The sequence below is a fragment of the Homo sapiens genome, chromosome 7 (assembly GCF_000001405.40).
Source record: "Homo sapiens chromosome 7, GRCh38.p14 Primary Assembly".
Classification (NCBI taxonomy): Eukaryota; Metazoa; Chordata; class Mammalia; order Primates; family Hominidae; genus Homo; species Homo sapiens.
The window spans coordinates 21,789,764-21,815,738 of record NC_000007.14 but is presented as its reverse complement, the minus strand read 5'-3'; the positions used below and the strand labels follow the sequence as shown (position 1 = coordinate 21,815,738).

The 25,975-nt window shown below is 39.5% G+C and overlaps 1 protein-coding gene across 1 annotated transcript in view; it reads right to left on the bottom strand.

Moving 5' to 3' along the window:
• Window positions 1-25,975, bottom strand: part of DNAH11 (dynein axonemal heavy chain 11) — a 358,801-nt gene that overhangs the window by 86,101 nt on the left and 246,725 nt on the right. Inside the window, exons 62-63 of the mRNA NM_001277115.2 lie at window positions 14,464-14,602; window positions 7,690-7,856 (exon numbers count right to left, since the gene is read on the bottom strand). Coding sequence (NP_001264044.1) covers window positions 7,690-7,856; window positions 14,464-14,602 — 306 coding nt within the window. The remainder of the gene's footprint in view (window positions 1-7,689; window positions 7,857-14,463; window positions 14,603-25,975) is intronic.

The following is a 25,975-nucleotide window of genomic DNA, read 5'->3' as shown; positions in this document are numbered from 1 at the left end:
TCCGCCAGTCATCAATCACCAAACATTTATTGAGCATTTTCTACGTACATGAAACACTGTCTAGAGACACCAAAATGTGCAGGATGAAAACCTAGCTAGCCCCCTAGCTTGGTGGGGTGGTTAACATGGAAGCATGCCTCCATAAGAGACTGTAGTAAGAACCCTACCTGTAGTAGGTAGGGGAGGCTGTATCAGCATTAACAGTTTGGTTCATTGGTTTGTCACAGAGCTTCAAAACAAAATGCTGAAAGGATTCCCACATTAAGGCTGGGATGCAATTTGATACGAATATAGGAAAAGTAGCACAATATTCTTACTGCCTCTGACTACAATGTTATCTTAAAAATGAATCAAACCCTATCTCCGAGTGATATTGAACAAGTCTTGATATCTGACTTGATACATAGTTCCCTTAGAGACATAGGCAATTTGATCTTTTAGAATAAGCAATCTTCTATCTGCAAGAGGTATGTGCTTTAGTTTGTTACCTTCTACTTAATACAAACAGCTGAAACAATTGGGGGCTGTAACTTTGATTTCTGAAGCTAAAAGGACTAACAGAAGGGGCACCTGCAGATCTCATATCCAAAATCCATAGTTTGAGTACCTACTCTGTGCAGAGTAGAGAGCCAGGGATCAAACAGAATACCAATCTCCCCCTTTTTTCCTGCTCAGTAGGGGAAATAAAACCCAGTTCAATATAAATGAAGAAATAAAACCCATCTTAATATAAATGAAGACACCTACATTAAAGAATATCATAACTATAGTGACTACTTTGAGACTCAAATTTTTAGGATGTTTCGATAGTATTGTGTCCAAATAACCAGCAGCATAGCTACATACAGAATTTTTTTCATAAAAATATTTTTTGATAGTTATAATACAGGCATCATTTTCACATTAATATTAACCTAAGTGTAGGGTGAGGAAAATAAGCATCATTTCATATACAGGCAAGCGCCATATGATATTTTGGTTAATGATGGACTGCATATACAACAGTGGTTTCATAAGATTATAATGGAGCCGAAAAATTCCTATCACCTAGTGACACTGTAGCCATCATAATGCTGTAGTACAATTACATTATTTTAAAAATAAATTTTGTGAAAAAACCAAACACCGCATATTCTCACTCATAGGTGGGAATTGAACAAGGAGATCACATGGACACAGGAAGGGGAACATCACACTCTGGGGCCTGTGGTGGGGTGGGGGGAGGGGGGAGGGATAGCATTGGGAGATATACCTAATGCTAGATGACGAGTTAGTGGGTGCAGTGCACCAGCATGGCACACGTATACGTATGTAACTAACCCGCACAATGTGCACATGTACCCTAAAACTTAAAGTATAAAAAATAAAAATAAAAAAATAAAAAAAAAATAAATAAATAAATAAAATAAATTTTGTGTAGGCTAAGTGTACAGTGTTTACAAAGTCTACAGTTGTATACAGTAATGTCCTAGGCCTTCACATTCACTCACTGACTAAACCAGAGCAATTTCTAGTTCTGCATGCTCCATTCGCGATAGGTGTTCTATGCAGGTGTACCAATTTTAGTCTTTTATGCTATATTTTTTGTATATCTTTTCTATATTTGGATAGATTTAGATGCACAAATACTTACCATTGTGCTACAATTGCCTACAGCATTCAATAAAATAACATGCTGTGCAGGTTTGTAGCCTAGGAGCAATAGGCTATGCCATGTAGCCTAGGTGTGTAATAGGCTGTCTCATCTAGGTCTATGCAAGTACACCAAAAGACATTTCTCAGAACATATCCCCTTCATTAAGTGACATATTAGAGTATACCTTCTTTTTATTACAATTAACTTGTCTTTTCAGAATTTCTTGGAGTCTGCAGCAAGGAAAATGGGTTTGGAAACCACGTGCAAAGAGGGAACCCTTTAAGTTCAAAGTCTGCTTCTAGAGTCAGACTGTTGTAAGGCTCCATCTAATTGCTCTATTAAGTAGTGTCAACATGTTGTGAGTCAGGATGTTACTATGAGGTGGAGCTGAAACAAAAAAGGAGGCTCACTCTTTGGAAAAGAAGCATTTGCTAGAGAGAAAAGACAAGGCTGGAAGCACACGCCACGAGCCAAAGTGAAATTAGTTATAACACCAAATGCCCATCTGGCCTCTAAAAACTGACCAACTGGCATATTCCTAAGAAAAAAGGGTAATTTCCTGTGGAGGTAATACTGCCAGTTTCTCCTAATGTTACAGTAACGTAACAACTCATGTTTATGTAAGGCTTTACCTGTTCACAAAATTTATTCATATAGATTCATTCTTTCCATTTTTTCATTTAACCCTTACAAGAGTTCTGCAAGGTAGATATCTCTATTTTATTGCTTAGGACACAGAGGCTTAGCATTAGTGCTTGTAATAACTAATTAATAACTAATAACTAATTATTGGCACTAATAACTCCATGTATTTGCTCTGTCTATAAACTGCTGGGTCAAAGCAATGAGTGGAGTGCAAAGGCTGCCTTGAACTTGCCTATGACTCTGTCCATCTGCCCAGCAAACAACAACTTTGGATGGAAACAACAACTTTGGATGGAAACAACTTTGGAAAACAGTGTAATTTGAACCCTCAAGGCCATGTATGCCCACAGCCCCTGTCCTTTTCAGCCACTACCCTCTGTGTTACTGTTTGCTCCCTGTCCCATCCCTCAAACTCATGCCCCATGGTTGTACTTTCTGACAACCCTTCCCCCATACCCTTCAGTATCTTAGTCTTGTTTGGACCAAATTGCCTTATCTTCTCTACCTGCTTGTCTTAAGCAAAACCAGGCTCTCCCCCAAGGGTAATGGCCGTCAACCCCAGGCTGGATACTGGACTTATGAGAGAGCTTTAAAAAGCTGCCAACAGGCCTGGCCCTTCCCCCAAGTGATTCAGCATCAACAGGCATCAATGCATTTCAAAAGTTCCCTCTCACATGATTTTAACAGGAGGCTGGGGTGCAAGAGCCATTGTTCTAGAGTCTCATTTCACTTGAGGGCCTTCTGAAGTGGAAAGAGTTCATTTTCCTCCCTTCCCACCTCTCTCTCTCTCTTTTCTTTCTTTTTGAAATAAGGTCTCACTCTGTCACCCAGCCTGGAGTTCAGTGGTGCCATCATAGCTTGCTGTAACCTCTAACTCCTGAGCTCAAGTGATCCTCCCTCCTCAGCCTCTTTGCCACCACACCTGGCTGGGTTTAAAAAAAATTTTTTTTTCATATAGATAGTGTCTCACTGTGTAGCCCAGGCTGGTATCAAACTCCTGGCCTCAAGAGATCCTCTTGCCTTGGCCTCCCAAAGCACTGGGAGACGTGAGCCACCACACCCGGCGGACAGTTCATTTTCTTAATCCCATTACTGAAAAGTGGGTGTGGGAAAGAGTTGCTATTCCTCTTTCTTCCCTGCAAGTCAACCCAAATCATGATTCTTCCATCCTTAAGTCAAAATGCCACCTTTAAGACCCATGGACTCCAGATATACAATCTCCAATCTATTTCCCCATCTTATGAATGATATAGCTATTGGTCTTTCTCGCCTTTCCAAGTTCTGCTATCAATCCTTGACAACCTCAGTGCCCATGTAGATGATGATTCCACTCTCTGGCCTTGACATCTTTCATGTTAAAGCACTGTATTTCCTTTCTATTCCAGTTGGGGGAATTGGGGGAGGAAGGGGATGATATCAGAATCACCCGGGAAGATTATACAACACCCCCATCCCTGGCTTCCGATATGCACATCCCCACCCCCCATGATGGTGATATGTCTTTGGAGGGGTATTAGAGTACCTCCTTTTTTGATGGGAAATGTAGTCCCAGGCTTTGTAACAATCTGAAATTATTTCATCATTGAAACCTAAAATTCCTGTACCCAACTCTTTGATTATGATTGTCTACATCTCTTTCACATCTTTAAACATAACACTTACTCTAAATACTATTAAGACACCAGGACTTTACCCTACTATTTACAGTTTTACTGTGGTAAAATATACTTAACATAAAATTTGTCATTTTAACCATTCTAAGTGTACAGTTCAAGTGGCATTAAGTACATTCACATTGTTGTACAACCATCATCATTATCTAGCTCCAGAACTTTTTCATGTTCCCAAACTGAAACATACCTATTAAACAATAACTCCCCATTCCTCCCTCTGCCAGCCCCTGGTAACCACCATTCCACTTTCTGTCTCTGTGAATGTGAATGCTCTAGGTCCCTCGTAAAGTTTGAAGTATTTGTCCTTTTGGCTTAATTTTTTTTTTTTTGAGATGGCATCTCACTCTGTCACCCAGGCTGGAGTACAGTGGCGCGATCTCGGCTCACTGCAACTTCCGCCTCCTGGGTTTAAGCGATTCTCCTGCCTCAGCCTCCTGAATAGCCTGGATTACAGGCACCCACCACCACGCCTGGCTAATTTTTAGTAGGGGGGGGGGTTTCACCATGTTGGCCAGGCTGGTCTTGAACTCCTGACCTCAAGTGATCTGCCCGCCATGGCCTCCCAAAGTGCTGGGATTACACGCATTAGCCACCAGGTCCAGCTGTGACTGGCTAATTTCAGTTAGCCTAATATTGACAAGGTTCATCCATGTTGTAGCACATACCAGAATTTCCTTCATTTTTGAGGCTGAATAACATTCTGTTGTGTATTTATACCGTATGTTTAAAAATCCGTTCTGTCCATGGACACAAGAATCGCTTCCATCTTTTGGCTAATGTGAATAGTGCTGCTATAAACAATGGCAAGCAAACATGTGTTTGAATTCCTACTTTTACTTCTTTGGGGTATATACTGAGAAGTAGAATTTCTGGATCATGTGGCAATTCTGTGTTTAAGGTTTTGGGAAACTTTACCATATTTTAACACTAACTTCTGGCTAACCTCCCATCTCTTTTCAGCCTAAAATGCTCCTTCCATTTCTTAACTCTTCTGCTAGTCACTGCTTGACTTTCCTCACCTCCTTTCTTTCTGGCTTACCTGCCTATAAACCTGGCTAGATTTGGCATTCTCTTTCCTCTCTTTTTACTCCTAGACTTTGAGTATTCTGATGAAAGCTTTATTACTGTGATTATAAACTTATCTTGTCCAAATACGTCTTGGGTTTCTTAAAGCTGTGTGGCGACTCTTACCATCTACTCCCCTGTTGCCCTTCACAGGTATTTTTGATATTTTTACCACTCTCCTCAAAACTGTTCTCCTGATTTCAATTTCCTTTGGTTTGGCCAGCTTGCACTGCATTTTCCTACTTCCCTAAAGTAACGGAGACCAGCAGGTGTGAGTGCTTCAATTTTCTAATAATATCTGTGCCCATGTCCATCTTTGTCTCCATACTCCAGAAAGGGCTGGATATATAAACTAAGAATCTGTTTTAATCAACTGAGATGACAGTGTTGTATAGAAAATAGAGTCCTGGAAATCAGGAGGTCTGATTTTCTATTCTCTATGACAGAAGTGGAGTCATTTGTCTGTCTCAGTTTTCTCATTTGTACAAGGAGTATCTTAAACTAGATGATTTTACATCGTGCAAATCTATTACTTCACTTTGCTTATGGGTTTGAATTTTCAAATTTAGGGTAAGCTACTTTATACTTACATATAAAATGCTACACTTTAAGTCTGAAAGTAGTCTTTTAAAAATCTTTAACAAATAACCCATAATATTAGTAAGAAAACAAAAAGTTTCATGCTATTCAATAACATGATGATCTGAGTTTGATTTCAGTTATCACTTCTGTTTAAAGCACTTTTCCAACTATAACTCTAAAGTTTACATAATTAATTTTTATGTTCTTGTTGAAACCATCACTAAAATAAGAAAAACTATTTCCATCTTTCACCATATGCAAAAATCAAATCAGGCCAGGTGTAGTGGTTCACACCTGTAATTCCAGCATTTTGGGAGGCTGAGGCGGGTGAATCACCTGAGGTCAGGAGTTTGAGACCAGCCTGGGCAACATGGTAAAACCCTATCTCTACTAAAAATACAAAAAAATTAGCCAGGTGTGGTGGCGGGTGCCTGTAATCCCAGCTACTTGGGAGGCTGAGGCAGGAGAATCACTTGAACCTCGGGGGCGGAGGTTGTAGTGGGCTGAGACTGAACCATTGCACTCCAGCCTGGGCAACAAGAGGGAAACTCCGTCTCAAAAAAACAAAATATAACAAACAAACAAAAAACAAAACAAAAACCAAAAATCAAATCAAAATGGATTAAAGACTTAAATATAAGACCTGAAACTATAAAACAACTATAGGAAAAATTGGGAAAATGCTTCAGGACATCTGGGCAAAGATTTTTTGGTTAAGACCACAAACAAATGCAAAAGTGGGATCGTATCAAGCTAAAGGCTTCTGCTCAGCAAAGGAAACAACCAACAGAGTGAAAAGATAATCTACAGAACAGAAGAAAATACTTGCAAACTATTCACCCAACAAGGCATCAATAACCAGAATACATAAGGAACTCAAACAACTCAATAGCAAATAAAGCAAAAAACTTGATCGTAAAATGGACAAAGTTCTTGAATAGATATTTTTCTCAGAAGAAGATGTACAAATGGCCAATAGGTAACATGAAAAAATGCTCAACATCACCGAGTCATCAGGGAAATGTAAATCCAAACCACAGTGAGATATAATTTCACCTCAGTTAGAATGGCTATTATCAAAAAGACAGAAATATCAAATGCTGGTGAGGATGTAGAGAAAAGGGAAAGCTTGTATACTGCTGGTGGAAATTTAAATTAGTACAGTCACCACAGAAAACAGTATGGAGGTTCCTCAAAAAAAATAAATAACTACCATATGATCCAGCAATCTAGCTACTGAGCATATATCCAAAAGAAAGGAAATCAGTATGTCAAAGAGGTACCTGCACTCCTATGTTTACTGCATCACTATTCACAATAGCCAAGACACGGAATCAACCTAAGTGTCCAACAACAGATGGGCAGATAAAGAAAACATGATATACATGCACAATGGAATACTATTCAGCCATAAAAACAATGAAATCCTGTCATTTCCAGCCACATAAATGGAACTGGAGGACTTTATGTTAAGTGGAATAAACCAGGCACAAAAAGATAAATATCGTATGTTCTTACATGTGGGAGCTAAAAAGGTGGATCTTATGGAGGTAGAGAGTAGAATGATGGTTACCAGAGAACCAGAGGGAGGGAAGTGGAGGAGAGGGGATGCAGAGAAGTTGGTTAGTAGGTACAAAACTACAGTTAGATAGAAGAAATAAGTGCCAGTACTCAATAACACAGTAGGGAAACTGTAGTTAATAATTTATTGTATATTTCAAACAGCTAGAAAGGAAGAATTATAGTGTTCTTAACACAGAGAAAAAATAAATGTTTCAGGTGATAGATATCTTATTTACTCTGACTTGACCATTACACATTGTATACAGGTATCAAACTATCACATTACCCCAAAAATATATATGAGTATTATAGATCAATAAAAACATTTTTAAAAATAATGAAATATTTATTATGAACTTTGTAAAAATAAGAAAAACTGCAGCACATGAGAAACAATTTCACCATGGAATTTCTGGTCAGTTCTCATTACAGACGTCCAAAAGCGCCTGGCATATATGTGGGTTTTACTACTGAAATTTCAATGTGATCTTTCTACCTGCTGACAAGGTAAGGAACTGAACTTACCTTCTGTTGAAGAAAGGGAACCCACTTGCAGTGCACCAGCTCCTGGCGATACTGCCTTGTGAAGGGTCCGACGTAAGACACAAATGCCGCCGTGAGAAGAACATCTCCACAGAGTGTCTTCTCTTGAGCTTCAAAGGACTTAATGGATTGACCCCAGCGAATCTTCTCTGACTGAAAGATGAAATTACTCAGCTGTAATTGCAGGCTGAATGTCAACTCCACAAATGCTTAATGCAATTACCTTATGGCAAGGTTTACGTCCTTCCACACAGTCACTATAAGGAACAGAGTGTAACGGGTTGGTGTGACTGTTATAATCTTTCATGTGTTTGAAATCCATCATTATGATGGAGTTCTCATACTCTCCTCAGTGGAGTTTATCACAAAGTGACATTAGTTCTTTAACATCTCTTCTCACTGGACATCCCAACTCTTCCATTATGATTGAGGTCCTTCTTGAAAGGCTGACAGTCTCTCCCCTGTCCCTCTGGGAATGGAAGATGACCAAGAGCTGTGGCCAAGAACGAGTGATGTTAAGATTATTTATTTATTTGACAGGGTCTGGCTCTATCACCCGTGCTGGAATGCCATAGCACCATCTTGGCTCATTGCAACTTTTACCTCCTGGGCTTAAGCCATCTTCTCACTTCAGCCTCTCAAGTAGCTGGGACTATAGGCATGCACCACCACGCCTGGCAAATTTTTGTATTTTTTGTAGAGACGGGGCTTCACCATGTTGCCCAGGCTGGTCTCAAACTCATGAGCTCAAGCAATCCACCTGCCTTGGCCTTCTAAAGTGCTGGGATTACAGGCGTGAGCCACCGCACCTGGCCTGATGTCAGGATTTTTAATGTCAGCCTGGCTGCTCTCCATTCTTCCCACTACACTGCCCTAGTCAAACTTTTTATTTACTTACCTATTTTTAACATGCTGGCAATGGTCTGATTACAGACAAAGGGAAATGACAAACACAACTCTACTTAATTAGTTAAAACATAAAGCTGAAATAGCCATCTATCCTGGATTCTACTAATTAAAGAGTAGCATTGGTAGTTACTAAACTCAGGTTAGTTTTCTAATATAATCATTAAATCAGTGGAGGAAGCTATGACCTATATAAAAAGGTGGAAATCAGGACTTCACAATACTCCCCAAGAATGCTGTTGAAGTCCTTATAGCTAGTTGGATGGCCATTTAAAATCTGATTTACAGGTTAAGTATGTGAAGCCCTTAATATTGGATTTGAATAAAACTGCAATAAATATGTATGGATTGACTGAACTGCAGGGTAGTTCACTAATTTATTTTGTTTCAATGTACGCTAAAAATACATTTTAAGAACATGCAAATTAATAGAACCTGAAAAAAAATCAGCAATTTGTTAGTACAAGCAAAGAAGCACCCTATGGAATTTTGCTTTCCCCATGAAAGTAGATTGACCACAGAAAACAAAAATGACGTCAGAATGGATTGGAATGCCAGTTCCCTGCAAGCTATCTTAATATCTACAACCCTGAGGTCGGAGGTCATGAAATTAGCATGTGAAAATGGTTATCAAAGTGGTTTCAAGATCATCTCCCTGCTTTGCTTATTAAAGATCACCCCAAGTTAACTATATAATTAAACACTAAGGAACTTCAGCTCTCTAGCCCTCTTTATAAAATTTATTACTTTTGTTCCTCAGCCATAGACAACATATGCATTAATTTTCAGGAGGAATCTCTCATTCACCTACCCTCTATCTTTGTTGTTTTTGGTTTGTAAAGGATAAACAATAAAATGTATCCAACTCATTCTCCAAAACAGCTTTGAGATTTGAAGATTCACTAAACATAGACTGATTGGCTATCGAAATCGTCAATAATTTTGCTATAGTATCCATGCAACATAAATCATTACTGACATTGGCTAACAAGGGTTTAAGAGTTGGAACATGTCCTGTAATAAATTTCAAGACAGTTAAAAATCACTATAATTTTATTCTAATGCATTATAGATTGCCTGTAATGTCATCCTGGCTGGGGTGACCCATTTCTAATTTTGAACAGCTGCTCAGCTCAGGAGTTAGTTAATGATTAAATATAAATTGCCTGATTTATTAGTCTGAATGGCTGAGCTTCCAGGTCAATGCGATATAGACAAAATCATCAGTCTTGATGTTTTTCAGAAGTTAACTGTCTCCTGTTCTAGTCAGAAAGAATTTATCCTGAAAGAAAAAGATCTGACATCTTCAATTAATCCTTTAAAAATATATATTTTTCCTTAGTTAACATGATACAATTTTCTTTTCCCTTCCTTGTCTAAATCATCATGAGTAAGTAAAGTCTTTGGAAATATTGCTATATGTTAGACACACATGGTAGGGCCTACTTTTCCCTTGACAAAACTTTCAGACATTCTGTAACTAGTCCCGGAAAACAGTCTAATTATATAACAGTTTTTCTCAGGTACCTCACAAATGGAGAACTCTTCAAACTGCTTAAATCTTGCTACTTTAAATGGAAGTAGTTTTAAGTACTAGTACTGGTGAAATTTCTCAACTCACCTAAGAAGAGCAAGTCTTCAAAAGGCTCCAGAATTTTAATACAGGAGGCTCCCAAAACTCACCCATTTAGTAACTCATTCATTCAGCAAATATCTAGTGATGCCTATGACATGCCAGGACTATTCTATATGCTTGGGATCAAGCAGTCCACAAAAAATGGTGAAGTTTCCTGTTCTTGCGAAGCTCATATTTCAGTTGGGGAAAAAAAGACCAAAAAAAGTATTTGTGCGTATGCATACACGGACAACTACGTTCATGCAATAAATGCTATCAAAAAATGTTAACAGAGCAAGTGGAGAAAATAGAGATGCATATGTGTGCATGTATGTGTGCGTGTGAACGAGTGGGGGTCTTGTGTGTTGGATGAAGGCTCTTTTATGTAGGGAGGTCAGAGAAAACCAACTGATAATGAGAACTTTCAGCAGGGCCTGACAAAGTGAAGAGCCAGTGATGTGACTGCCTGGGAAAGGCTAACGCACAAAGAAGGAGCGTGCCTGGAAGTATGAGGGAGAGACAGAAGGCCAGTGAAGATGGGGCAAGAGAGAAGTGGCAGAGGTGAGGACAGAGGGGTATCCAGGAGACAGATTATCATGTAGGGCCTTGCAGGTCAGTAAAGCCTTTAGGCTGGACTTTGAGTGATTAATTAGCTATTGGGGAGTTCTGAGTGAAGGAGTGATGTGAATGTACTTAAGTTTGTAAAATATCACCCAGCTACAATGAGGGAAATAAGCTTTAGGAGGTAATGGTGGGGCCTGCAGAGGTACCCTAGGGGAGAGATGCCACAGCCTGGACCAGCATGGTAAGGTGAAGAGAATGAGAAGTGCTAGGATTTGGAATGAACCTGAAAGGCAGGGTCAATAGAATATCTGATGGATTTGATGTCACACAGAGTCAAGGGTGATTCAAAAGCTTTGGGCCAGAAAAACTGGAAGAACAGAATTGCAGTTATTGAGATGGAATGGAGAGAGGGGATTTGCAGGGTGAATTATGAGTTTTTGCATAATGAACTATGCATTTCAGAGAGATAGTGTATTTAAACTTGTGGTGAATTAGTTAAATTTGTGGTAATAAGTTAGGGTTTTAAAAATGTACTATAGGCTGGGCACGGTGGCTCATGCCTGTAATCCCAGCACTTTGGGAGGCTGAGGCGGGTGGATCACGAGGTCAAGAGATCGAGACCATCCTGGCTAACACGGTGAAACCCCGTCTCTAATAAAAATACAAAAAAATTAGCCGGATGTGGTGGCGGGCACCTGTAGTCCCAGGTACTCGGGAGGCTGAGGCAGGAGAATGGCGTGAACCCGGGAGGCGGAGCTTGCAGTGAGCCGAGATGGTGCCACTGCACTCCAGCCTGGGCAACAGAGCAAGACTCCGTCTCAAAACAAAACAAAACAAAACAAAACAAAACAAAACAAAACAAAAAAAACTACTACAAGAAATGAGGCTATCACCTAGCCATCCCGAAACACGTACCCCCTCGTTTCTTGCTAAGAGAACCCTGAATCTGAATAGGATGGTCGTGTGCCCAGTCCCATGAGATGAACGGTGGCTTGCTAAGCCAATGATGACAGCCCCATTCCCCACTTTTCCAGACTTCAATGATGATAGCCCCATTCCCCACTTTTCCAGACTTCAATGATGATAGCCCCATTCCCCACTTTTCCAGACTTCAATGATGACAGCCCCATTCCCCACTTTTCCAGACTTCAATGATGACAGCCCCATTCCCCACTTTTCCAGACTTCAATGATGACAGCCCCATTGTCCACTTTTCCAGACTTCAATGATGACAGCCCCATTCCCCACTTTTCCAGACTTCAATGATGATAGCCCCATTCCCCACTTTTCCAGACTTCAATGATGATAGCCCCATTCCCCACTTTTCCAGACTTTTTTTTTTTTTTGGGCAGGAGGTGTGGGGTGGAGTTAGCAGTTTATCTAGTTCTGACTAAAGAAACTTAAGTGGGAGTCTGTCAGAGACATTTCCAGAAAAACATCAGCTTTTCTCATAAAAGGAGAAAACCCCAGCTGATACAGATTGTTCCCTTTCTCTACTGTCTCTTTGAATCTGAAGGTGTAGCAGACATCTTGAGACCATGAGGCAAAATGCATGAGGGTGAATGTCCACTTGCTGAGCGTGGAGAGGCAGAGGGCAACAAAGAGCCTAGGTGGCTGATCACTAATCACCAGGATCAACACTGATAATGGTCCAGCCTTAGCATTTTTTGTAATATGTGAAAAATAAGCTCCCATTTGTTTGAGCCACTGTAAAAGTTTTCTATCACCTCCAGCCAAATGCATTTCTAATAGTGCAGTTACATATTTTAGTGCAGTTCTATGCTTGTCAGCTAAAGGCATTTCTAATAATGCAATTATACACTTTTTAGTTACACATTTTATTACTTTTTAGATATATATGTTATATGCTTTCTAATAGTGTAGTTACAGACTTTATACTTTAAAAAGTAACTGCTTTATTGAGATATAATTCACATACCATGAAATTCACCCATTAAAATATACAGCAGTGTTTTTTACTACATTATATATATATATTATATATATATAGACTTGCACAATTATCTCCTCTAGCTAACTTTAGTACATTTCTCTCACCCCAAAGAGAAACCATGTATCCAGTAGTAGTCACTCCCCAAACCCCACACCCTTGTCCAGCCCCTGGCAACCATTAGTCTATTTTGCGTCTATAAATTATCCTGTTCTGGACATTTCATACACAGGCACATTCTGCCTGTGTATCACATGATATCACATACCATGTGATATGTGGCCTTTTGTGTCTGGCTTCTTTCTTTTAGCATGATATTTTCAAGATTCATACATTGTAGCATGACTCAGTATTCATTTTTATAGATGAATGCTATTAACATTATATGGATATACATTTTATTTATCCATTTATCAATTAAGGGACATGTGGGTTGTTTCTATTCTTAGCTATTATGAATAATGCTGCTATGAACATTGCATATGAGCTTTTTAATGGACATTTATTTTCTTTTCTTTAGGGTATATACCTATGAGTAGATGATTGTATCATGTGGTAACTTTATGTTTAACGTTTTGAGGAACTGCAGAACTGTTTTCCAAAGACGCAGAACAATTTTACATTCCAACCAGCATTTCCCCATAGCGTTTGCCAATACTATTACTGTCCATATTTTTTATTATAGTCATCCTGGTGGTTATGAAGTGGTATCTTGTTGTGGTTTTAATTTGCATTTCTCTAACGACTAATGGAGTTGAGCATCTTTTCAGGTGCTTACTGGCTATCTGCATATCTTTTATGGAGAAATGTCTATTCAAATTCTTTTCTTATTTTAAAATTTGGTTATTTATCTCTTTGACTTTTGTTAGGAAATACTTGAACGTACATTATGTCTTTTGAGAATCATCACAACCTTGTAAGGGAAACGTTATCCACATCCCTGTTTTAGATACAAGAAAACAAAGTTGAAGACGTTCAGTGATTTCCCCAGAACTGTTAAATGCCACGTTGTGGAGCAAATAAAATCTGTGAATACTGATATCAAAGAACGTATGTTCCTCTACCACTCATGTTCAAGCAAGAGAATGTCAATAAGAATTATAAAAAACCTTTATCTAATGGAATAACTATTAACATTAGCATGTCAGTCACCCATAAAAAGATGTAACAACAAAAACATAAACCAACCAGGTTTAACTTGAAAGAAATCATTTGCTGGTAGAATTCAATGGCAAATGTATATTAAAAGGATCAGACAACAAACAGTTCAATTTCATAATTATCTAGCAGCCATCCTGAGTTTTATAACTTGTTTTAAGAAAAACATGCTTTATTTTTGTTTTTAAAGGATTTCACAATGTGGTAAGAAAGAAAGGAAGAGAGAAAGTAGAAAAAATAAGTACATAACCCACCCACAGCTGATGTACTCCATTGTCTTAAAGTGGATACAAGACCACTAAATTCTGATAAAGTATATGTCTTCCCTGTTTTCGTTGGAGATCAGACTGATGGCACATTGAGTTCAGGACTATAAATTAAAAGATATGTACTTGAACATTTCTTCCTTCTGGTGAGTTAGAGCCACAGGATGAGTGATTATCAAATATTATCCTTTGTTGTTAATTCCATGTCTATTTAGTTATTATTGATGGCAAATAATAAAATCCCCACAAGCTGATCTGAACATTTTAGTTAGAATGTTTGGAAGAAAAGGTTTAACTTGCCTCAAGTTCCTTGACAAGTCTGTTAGCTAATTTGATGGTTTTGTTGGTTTGGTTCACCTCTTCTTGACACCGGACTTTCTCAGCTGTTGCTTTTTCAAATGAAGCCGTGAGTCTGCTCAGATTTCGATCCAGATCCTGAATCAGAGTTGAATTAACTTTTGAGTCATTTTTAGTTAAAACAGAGAGATTACCATCATCTTAAAACATCTGTTACTGTAAGGTAAATGGACAAACCTCTTCCCCCCATTAACCTTTGCCCCTTTACCATACGTATTTTAGGGAAGAAGGAAAAGAAGGATATAATGAAATAAACACATCAGTGCCACCATGAACTAACAGTTCACGATGTGGTCTTCTCTCCCCTTCTGCCTCCACTGGGCAGAATGCAGGGAGCGACTGGGGTGAATGGATGTGCGCTGAAGATGCAAATACGCCGTGGGTGCACTATCATCCCCCTCTGCTCTTGCACCCAAGCCTCATCCTCCAACCAGCTTTATTAAAGACAACAGTGACTTGTTTGGTTTCTCCACCCACGGATTCTTTTCTCTTTGGGTTCATAGTTCAGGCAGTGAAGAGGGGTGTTAATTACTGAGCCCTTTAGACCCAGCTTCGCCAATCGGATTTTTCTTTTTCATTTTTTTTGGAATGAGTATTGCTCTGTTGCTCAGGCTGGATGCGATGGTGCAATCTCAGCTCACTGCAACCTCTGTCCCCCAGGTTCAAGTGATTCCTGCGCCTCAGTCTCCCGAGTAGCTGGGATTACAGGTGTGCACCACCACACCCGGCTAATTTTTGTAGATTTAGTGGAGATGAGGTTTCGCCATGTTGGCCGGGCTGGTCTTGAACTCCTGGTCTCAAGTGATCCACCCACCTTGGCCTCCCCAAGTGCTGGGATTACAGGCATGAGCCACTGTGCCTGACCCATATTTTTCTCTTCTGGACGTAGGGACTGAAACTCAGAGATAATCCATTGTCTTTAGCATTGAAAGACCTGGGAGGATGTGTGAATCACAGGGCTGCGTTTAAAGAGGGAACACCTTCCACTGGGGCACAGAAAAAACCAGAGAAAACCATTGTGGAGAAAGAGAGAAGGACGAAAGGGATGTAAAAGAGAAGCAAGATGAGAAGTCACACAGCCCTAGAGACTCCAAGAGAAGTTCATGGCAGCTTCTTGTTTCCTGGATCTCTTGGGTCCCCTGGTCACCTTTTGTCCATGAGTTTGTCTTTGTGCCTTTTTTGACTAAGGTATTTTGAATGAGCTCATATAACTTATAGACAAAAAGTCTTGACTAAGTTGTCAAATGCTTGTGAGACTCCTCACTATGGTATCTTGCTAGCATATTAAGTTCCAAGAAACCTAATAAGATTTATAGCATTGCTTTTGTAGATGCATGCAAAGTTCCAAGAAACTTTAACAAGAAAACTTACAGAATATAATCTATTAATAATTTAGAGACAGACTATATTTGTCGATGACCCAGTTATTTCACCATTACTTTATATTGCTAAAGCAATATGTATATATACACAAATATGTATATACATCAAATTTAAGATTAATATGCAAAATAGCATTAACTTTATGAGAATTGATGGAGATATTATACATCACCAGTTAGAAATAAGATTGAAATATGGCCGGGTGCGGTGGGTCATGCCTGTAATCCCAGCACTTTGGGAGGCTGAGGCAGGCAGATCACGAGGTCAGGAGTTCAAGACCAGCCTGGCCAACATGGCGAAACCTTGTCTCTACTAAAAATACAAAAATTAGCCGGGCGTGGTGGCGGGTGCCTGTAATCCCAGCTACTCGGGAGGCTGAGGCAGGAGAATTGCTTGAACCTGGAAGGCAGAAGTTGCAGTGAATGGAGATCATGCCATTGCACTCCAGTCTGGGAAACAAGAGCAAGACTCCGTCTTAAAAAAAAAAAAGAAATAAGATTGAAGTAAAAATATTACAGGTCTATTCTGGGTTATTAAGAGTACTTATAGTTTTACCAAGCACAGAAGCACACGAAGGCTCTGGTATCAGACTCCTTGGGTTGATATTTGGATGCTGCTACCAGCTAAGCAGTATCAAGTTGGGGCTATTTATTTACCTTCTCTATGCTTCAGCTTCATTATCTTAAAAATGGAATTAATAATGTTACCTAGCTCAAAGGGTGTTTTTTTGAGGATTAATTTTGATGATTTATAGAATAATATCTAGGACAGTAGAAGGCAATGGTTCTCAAAATTTTTGGTTTCAAAACTCTGTTACATTCAGAACCCTAAAGGGCACTGGTTCATACAGATGATATCAAGTAATATTTGTGGTATTAGAAGTTAAAACTGAAAAAAATTTAAAAATTTATTTATTTAATATTAATAAGCTCACCATGTATTAGCATAATTTTATTAAAATAACAATATTAACAAAACAAAAATAATTAAAAATGACATTTAGATTTTTGCAAACCTAATTTTAATGACTTATTTAACAGAAGACTGTTAGATTCTTATACCTGCTATTGCATTCAATCTGTTGAGGTGTTGCATGTCATACAGCAGCTGAAAAACTCTGCTGTATGCTTGCTGGAGAATGAAGGTGAATAAAGCAGACAATGCCTTATATAACTTGCAGGTGAGGAAACTGAGACAAAGATCAGTTGAGTGATTTGCTAAAGTTTCACTAGCAAGTGAGTGAAAAAACAAGGCTATGAACCCAAACCTTCTGAGTCCTGGACCAACTTAATGGAAGGCATTTCACAAAATAGATGTTTGAGAAGTTCCAGTTGTGAAGAGACAGAGTAAATACTTCCAGGCTTCCCAGTCAAATCACACATGGTATACTGTATAGTTAAGAGTATCCATCTTCGAGTTTAAAAATGTCTTGGTTCTGCCAGGCACAGTGGCTCATGCCTGTAATCCCAGCACTTTGGGAGGCCGAGGCAGGTGGATCACCTGAGGTCAGGACTTCAAGATCGGCTTGGCCAGCAGGGTGAAACTCCATCTCTACTAAAAATACAAAAAATTAGCCGGGCATGGTGGCACAAGCCTGTAATCCAGCTACCCAGGAGGCTGAGGCACAAGAATTGCTTGAACCTAGGAGTCAAGTTTGTAATGAGCTGAGATCGTGCCACTGCACTCCAACCTGGGTGACGGAATGACACTGTCTCAAATGAATGAATGAATGTCTTGGTTCTAGTTCCTCTGCCTCTTACTGACCCTGGTGGTGTGGACTCATTTTTCACTTTATGTGAGCTTTACATTTTCTCATGTGTAAAATGGGACTACTCCTAGTAATACCTACTTCATAGGTAGGTGTGCTATGGAATAAAATGTGTCTTAATGCATGTAAAATATGGCACAGCACATTCAGCAAGCACATGGTAAGTTAGCTTGGTGTGCAAATATCACTGGAGTTTATTTCAAATGGGATACAAATTCACTTTGGTTCCTTTTTTTCATTGAATGAAAACGTAACTTAATGGCAAATGTTTGGGTAAAAGTTGGCCCTTGGCATGTAACTCTTAAGGGCATGAGTGAATGTTCACCAGGAATAAGTACTAACCTGGTATAATAGCCAGGATTCCAAGCATGCTTAAAGGTGACAATCTACTACTTTCATAGGAATGTCTAATTGTTGATTTGAGCTTACACTGACTGTTTTATGTGTATTCAGAGATTTGAAAGGAGCACTAGTGTCTCACATGAATACAGTTAATATAAACATAAATATGTAAACTGTACATGTACTAGAAAAAATAGTTCAAGGGCTGGGTGTGGTGGCTCAAGCCTCTAATCCCAGCATTTTGGGAGGCCGAGGCGAGCGGATCACCTGAGGTCACGAGTTTGAGACCAGCCTGACCAACATAGAGAAACCCCGTCTCTACTAAAAATACAAAATTAGCCGGGCATGGTGGCGCAGGCCTGTAATGCCAGCTACTCGGGAGGCTGAGGCAGGAGAACTGCTTGAACCTCGGAGGTGGAGGTTGTAATGAGCTGAGAACGCACCACTGCACTCCAGCCTAGGCAATAAGAACAAAACTCTGTCTCAAAAGGAAAAAAAAAAAAGTTCAAAGCAAATATATAATCATCAAGATGATTTTACTCTAAAATAAGTAAGATTAAGTTTCCAAAATATTTTCTGAGGGACTCTTAATATTGTTTGTACCTTTCTCCTTGTTTTCAAAAAATTTTTCTCTATAGAAAACTCTATTCCTGCTGTTTTCTTTTCTCACCACCCATTCTCTCCTTCATCTATTTTAATCTGACTTTCATTCCTATCACTTTTTTCTTTGTTCTTCTCTACCATTTTACTGAAACATGTGATCTGATAAACAAACTTTATTCTCTCAAGTTACTAATCATTGTTTGTAAAAAAAATAAAATAAAAAAATAACAACTAACAGTTATTGATCCTCTAGCAAGCACCCAGCACTATTCTAAGTATTTGACATGTGTTAATGCATTTGATCAGTTCGTTAAGTCTCAGAGAGATTTTTTCATTTTATAGGTGAGGAAATTAGAGAGTCCATGAGGCAAAAATGTTACTCAAGCTCACAAAGATGGAAAGTACTGGGCTAAGATGTAACACGTGATGTTTGGCCCCACAGCCTATGCTCAGATGCACTGTGGTATCTGGCCTCTTTACTATTTGTTCCAGGTGATGGTTCCCTTCCCTCCCTTGGCCGCCATGATAACAATCTCTTCTGGCTCCTCATTCACCTTCCTAACCATCTCTTTTTCTTGCTCTTTCAGATATCATCATTCTGTACCCAGTTTATAAACTGTTTATAACCCAAGTTTCTCTCCTTGACTTTCTTTTGTTTTCATTCTGCTTCCCTCATCCATGTTCATTCTGCTTCCAGTCTCTTCCCCTTTGTTCATTGGCCCACAGCTATCTTTCCAAAAGGCAAATGTGATCGATTTATCCCTCCTGTGCCCAACTGCAGTTCTTCAATTGCTCTCCCTGTCTGACAGTGGCAGTTCTCATATATGGCTCACAGATCCCTACTGGGGCTAGTTTATTCTGCTAGGGCCCACTGAATCTACGTTTGCCTTAATCATTGTCTATAACACGGTTAAAAGAAAATACAACTACTATTCATGACTGTCAGGGACTCTTTTTGGCATTAAGAAGAGTCTTCAATATTAGGGAGCTTAGTATATTCTGGCCTATAGGACAAACACTTACCTCTTAACCAACACCTTGCAATTTCCCGTGTGATCATGTCCCTGCCTCACTTTTCACCACAAGAGACCCCACACACTGACATTTATACTCTACTCTTCAGTCATGTTGAGGTACTCACTGTCCACAGGACACGTGACCCTCTTTCTTGAAATGCCCTTTCCCTATCTTCTGGGTGAAAACCTATTCATCTTTTAAGACTGGATTCAAGAGGAAACTGCTCCTCCAAACCTTTCCTGAGCACCCAACCCCATCCTCACGTGCAGAACTGACCAACTCCATTCTTTGTGCTCCAGTGGTAGCCAATGCAACCTCCCTTGGCAGCACTTGGCAAATTAAACAGCATTTAGTAAATCTGTAAGATTTTTCAGGGCAGGGACTGAGCCTTCTGTGTCCCTCTGACTCCAGTGCCTAGTCCAGTGTTACAAAACGTTCGTTGATTGCTAAAAGGAAAGTGAGTCCTTCAACTAGAACAAATAAACCTTTTAATTAAAATATAAAATATGGTTCTGTTTGTTAATTTAACTAATAGTTTTTGAGTTCCTCTCATGTGTCAGGTGCTAGGCATAAAAAGTTAAAAGACTTTAAGGAGCTCATAGTGTGGAAGACAGAAAGGAAATGAGAGTTCGCATGTTAGGATGAGGTGTACACTGATGTGTAGGGTGTGTGGAATAACAGGGAAACTGATCAAGTATTTTCTCCAAGGAGTTCCCCTAAAGTCCAAGCTTGATCTAGGAGAACAGGGAGAATTAGCAGATGATAAAGTACCAGATCCCAAATAGCTTTCAGTATTAGTACACAGCAAAGGTCAGTACCCACTAGGTACTAGGTACTAGGATCCGCACACCAAACCTAGCAGCCAACTGGTTTTGTGTGGCCTATGAGTAAAGAATGGATTTTACATTTTTAAATGTTAAATGTAAAAAAAATTAACCTTTACCTAAGAATCGTTGTGCAAAAGTTTGAGAACACAAAGGGATGTCACCAGAAAGGCAGAGTGGAAGTAATCTGGCTTCACTCTCCCCTACAGAAAACCCAAAACAAATATCCAGTGCTAAGACTATCACCAGCAACATCCTGGAACTCAGAGACACTACCCAGAGCCACAGAGAGGTAAAAAACTCTGAGCAGCAGAAGAAAGAACGTCCCTATTTGCAATGCCCCTACCAAAATCTACTCAGGTACTGCACGTAGAAAATGCCCCCCAGACTCGTAGTTCCTACACTGGAGAAAGTGAGACTGAGGTGGACAGCCATTTTTCCCACTCAGCCATCTTACATTCCCTTGCAAGAAAACTGCTTTTTACCGTAACCCAGAGGAAGTATTCCAAGTGCCTACAGAGACAAAAATCCCTGAAAGCATCTAGTGATAAAGAGGGAAGGTCAGACTAGCAACTCCAGCCCATGAAATTCTCTTCTTCATCTCAGTCAAAGGAGATGCCAAATCAGAGTGGCTGTTCAACAGCACCACACTGTACAAGGCACACTCCATGGGTCTTCTGGGCACAAACCCCCAGCTAGCTTTCACACAAAGCCAGAGTATCTTCTTGGGGCCCCTTACCCTCAATTCAGGATGGTCAGTACTTCAAGCATTTCTAAGAGTCAAGGCAAACCTGAGCTTAATGTTCCATATAGTGCTGAAAAGGAAGCAGTGATCTAGAATTAAGGAACTCAACAGGTGACTACAAATAACCTCTAAGCAAACATACTCTAGAAAGACCAAAACAAGCCAGTCAGCAAAGACTAGCATAAATAACTAATCCTTCAATGTAAAGCCATAGAAGTATATCCACAAGAGACAGCAGCAAACAGGGAGCCATGACCTCTCCAAATAAACAAAGCAAGGAGCGAATGACCAACTCTAATGAGATGATGATGTGGGAGCTCTCAGATCAATAATTCAAAATAGTAGTTTAAGAAAACTCAGCCGACTCCAAGATAATACAGAAAAGCAATTCAGAAATTTATCAGAAGTTTAAGAGATTGAAATAATTTTTTAAAAATCCTGGAACTGAGAAATACGTTTGCTGAAGTAAAAAATGAATTTGAGGCTTTAAAGAGCAGAATGAGTAAAGCAGAAGAAAGAATCAGTAATTTCAAAGACAGGCTATTTGAAAATACACAGAGGTGAAAAAAGGAAAAATGATGAAACAAACAAATGTCTACAGAGAATGACCTCAAAAGAGCACATCTAACAGTCACTGGAGTTCAAGAGGGAGTTTAAAAAGAGCAAGATGTAGAAAGCTTGTTCAAAGAAAGAAGTATATATAATAAACATGAATAGATCTAAGTGGATAGACTGAAATACAGTAATAGCAGGGGACTTCAACACCCTACGCTCACTAACAGACAGATCATCCAGACATGAAATCAACAAAGAAACATTAATGATAAACTAAACACTAGACTACATAGGTCTAAGCAACATTTATAGAACATTTCATCTAACAGCTGCAGAATACAAATTCTTTTTTTTTTTTTTTTGAGACAGAGTCTCACTCTGTCATCCAGGCTGGAGTGCAATGGCACGATCTCGGCTCCCTGCAGCCTTCACCTCCCAGCTTCAAGTGATTCCCCTGCCTCAGCCTTCTGAGTAGCTGGGACTACAAGGGCGTGCCACCACGCCCAGCTAATTTTTGTATTTTTAGTACAGACGGGGTTTCACCATGTTGGCCAGGATGGTCTCAATCTCCTGACCTCATGATCTGCCCACCTCAGCCTCTCAAAGTGCTGGGATTATAGGCGTGAGCCACCACGCCCAGCCTGACAAATTCTTTTCATCAGCACATGGAACATTCTCCAGAACTGACCACATATTAGGCCACAAAACAGGTCTCTACAAATTCAAAAAAGTAAAAATCATATCAAGTACCTTTTCTGATCACAATGGAATAAAACTAGAAATGAAAAACAAGAGGAAAGTTGGCAACTATACGAACACAGGAAAATTAAACATGTTCCTAATCAGTTGGTCAATGACATTAAGAAGGAAATTTAAAAATATTTTGAAACAAATTAAAATGGAAACCTAATATATTCGGTCTATGGAATACAGCAAAAGCAATACTAGGAGAGAAGCTTACAGCAATACATCAAATGCCTACATAGAAAAATAAACAACATTCAAATAACAAATCTAATGATACACCTCAAGGAACTAAAATAATAAGAACAAATCAAACCCAAAATTTTTAGAAGGAAATAAGAAAAATCAGAGCATAAATAAATGACTGAGACTAAAAAATACAAAATATCAATGAAATGAAAAGTTCATTTTTTCAAAAGATAAACAAAATCAACTAACCTATAAAGCAAAAAAAGGAGAGAAGACCCAAATAAAAAAATAAATGAAAATGGATATATAACAACGGATACCACAGAAATATGAAGGATCATTAGAAACTACTATGAACATGTATATGCCAACATATTGGAAAACCTATAAGAAATGAAAAAATTCCTGCACATATACACTCTACCAAGATTGAACCATGAAGAAATAGAAAACCCGAACAAACCAGTAATGAGTAATGAGATTGAAGCAATAATAAAAAGTCTCCATCAAAGAAAACCCTAGGACCTAATGGCTTTACTGTTGAAATCTACCAAACAGTTGAATAATACCAATTCTACTCAAACTTTTTCAAAAAATTGAAGAGGGAATACTTCCACACTCATTTGATGAGACCTGCATTACCTGACACAAAAACTAGACAAGAACACAGCAAGAAACTACAGTCAGTATCTCAGATGAAGACAGATGCAAAAATTCTCAACAAAATACGAGCAAACTGAATACAACACACACTGAAAAGATTATTCAGCATGATCACGTGGGATTCAACCCAGGGATACAAGAACAGTTCATATGCAAATGAGTAAATGTGATATATCTCATTAAGAGAATAAAGAACAAAAACTGTATGATCATTTTAATAGATGCTAAAAAAACACTCAACAAAATTCAATACCCCTTTATGATAAAAATGCTCAGCAAACTAGGTATGGAAGGCACATACCTCAACACAAAAAAGGCCCATCTGTCACTCCTGCTTCTGCCATGTAAGATGCCTGATCCCCCTTTGCTTTCTGCCATGGTTGAAAGTTTCCTGAGGCCCCGCCCAAAGCAGGAACTGCTATGCTTCCTGTACAGCCTGCAGAATCATGGGCCAATTAAACCCCTTTCTTTGTAAGTTACCCAGTATCAGGTATTTCTTTATAGCAATGTGAGAACAGACTAACACACCAACCATTCCCAACTATATATTCCTGACCCAGACTTTTCTCTCAAACTCCAGTCATGACTGCGGCACACTTACATATGGATTTTTCTATAGGAAGAGGGTGGGAACTAAGATTTATGAAGTGTCTACTGTATGTTGCACACTAAATAGTATCTTAATGCATCAGGAATCATAGGTGGGAATGATGGAAAGAAATACCTACTCCCTTCTAGCTAATGTAAGCTGAAGGAGCTTGCCCGAAGTAGATGGGGGAGCTCTTAAGAGGGAAAGAAAGGCTGAGAACCACATACAGGCACCAAGATGCTCCAGAGGGTCTTGGGAGCAGGAGCTGTTTACAAGTCTCATCAGGACACTATCTTTGCAATGTATGCACTCTGTTTTCAGTCTTTTATTCCTTTTGCTCATGACTTAAACTCTAGAGATGGGGGATCAAGTTGCGAAAGGTTGGATCATATATCTAGTCCTTGAAAAGGCAAGGTCACTCCTGCTAAAAGCCTCACCTGAGTGCATCCAATGCAGAGAGATTCTTCCCTAAAGAAAATCAAGCTGTTTTCACTCAAAGGTGGCAGACTGGAAGCTGGGTAGCCCCAAATCACACATGGCCACCTTGAGAGTTGCTGTTACCACTACTTGACAGATGAGAAACTGAAGCTCCAGGGGTTTCTGTAAACTGCCAGGGTTGTGCCGCCTCATCACTCTGCTGGCTGCCCTGCCAGGCACCTCACGCTCCTCATCCTGCTCCTGTATTCCTCCCGTCTCTCTGTATCTCATCAGCCAGCCTTGAACGTAATCTCTCTCCCTCCATCATGACTGCTCCTGCCTGAGCTGAGGCCATAACAGGATTCACGACAGTGGCTTTCTAACTTGTCTGCCTGCCTCTAGGTTCTTTTCTTCTTCCAGCATCCATTCACTTTGGTTGTATCATTAACTTGTTAAAATCTTTCAAAGGCTTAATATCACCAATCGGATAAAATTTAAATTCTGTAGTGTGAAAGGCAAAGAAAGCCTATGCTCACCTTTGCAAGTTCATCTTTCATGATTTCCCTGTTCATGATTCCCTCATACTCGCCAAAACATTCATTGCAGGGCTCTGACTTGCTGGACACTTCAAGTGTCCCAACTGCTCCTTCCCTCTTTTCCTTGCCTTCTGTCAGGAACACCTTTCCCATCCTAGTTATCCTGGTGGTTCCTAACCAACATCTAAAGCCCATGTCGATCCACCTTCACTAAAGAACTTCCTCTAATTTCTTCGGGCTCGGTATTTCATGGTGTTTTCTGTATATAGCCACATATATATTGATAATGCTGGACTAGGATGAGTGGTTTACATATTTGTAAAAACAGTAGTGGTATTTAGTAGTACATACAATATTCATTGAAAATATTTTCTTTTCTTTTTGTTGTTTGAGACGGAGTCTTGCTCTGTCGCCCAGGCTGGAGTGCAGTGGTGTGATCTTGGCTCACTGCAAGCTCCACTTCCTGGGTTCACGCCATTCTCCTGCCTCAGCCTCCTGAGTAGCTGGGACTACAGTCACCCGCCATGACGCCCGGCTAAATTTCTTTTTGTATTTTTAGTAGTGACGGGGTTTCACCGTGTTAGCCAGGATGGTCTCGATCTCCTGATGTCGTGATCTGCCCGCCTTGGCCTCCCAAAGTGCTGGGATTACAGGTGTGAGCCACTGCGCCGAGCCGAAAATATTTTCTAAGCACTTACTATGTGCCAAGTACCATGGTAAATTCTTAATATGAATTACTCTTATTTAAATCCCCACAGTTCTACCTAAGAAATGGACACTATTCAGGAAAAATAGCTAATGAATGACAGGCTTAATACCTAGGTGATTGGTTGATAGGAGCAGCAAACCACCATGGCACATATTTACCTGTGTAACAAGCCTGCACATCCACCCTGGAACTTAAAATAAAATGAAGGAAGGAAGGGAGGGAGGGAGGGAGGGGAAAGGAAAGAAAGAAAGAAAGAAAGAAAAGGAAGGAAGGAGAGAGAAAGAAAGAAAGAAAGAAAGAAAGAAAGAAAGAAAGAAAGAAAAAAGAAAGAAAGAAAGAAAGAAAGAAAGAAAGAAAGAAAGAAAGA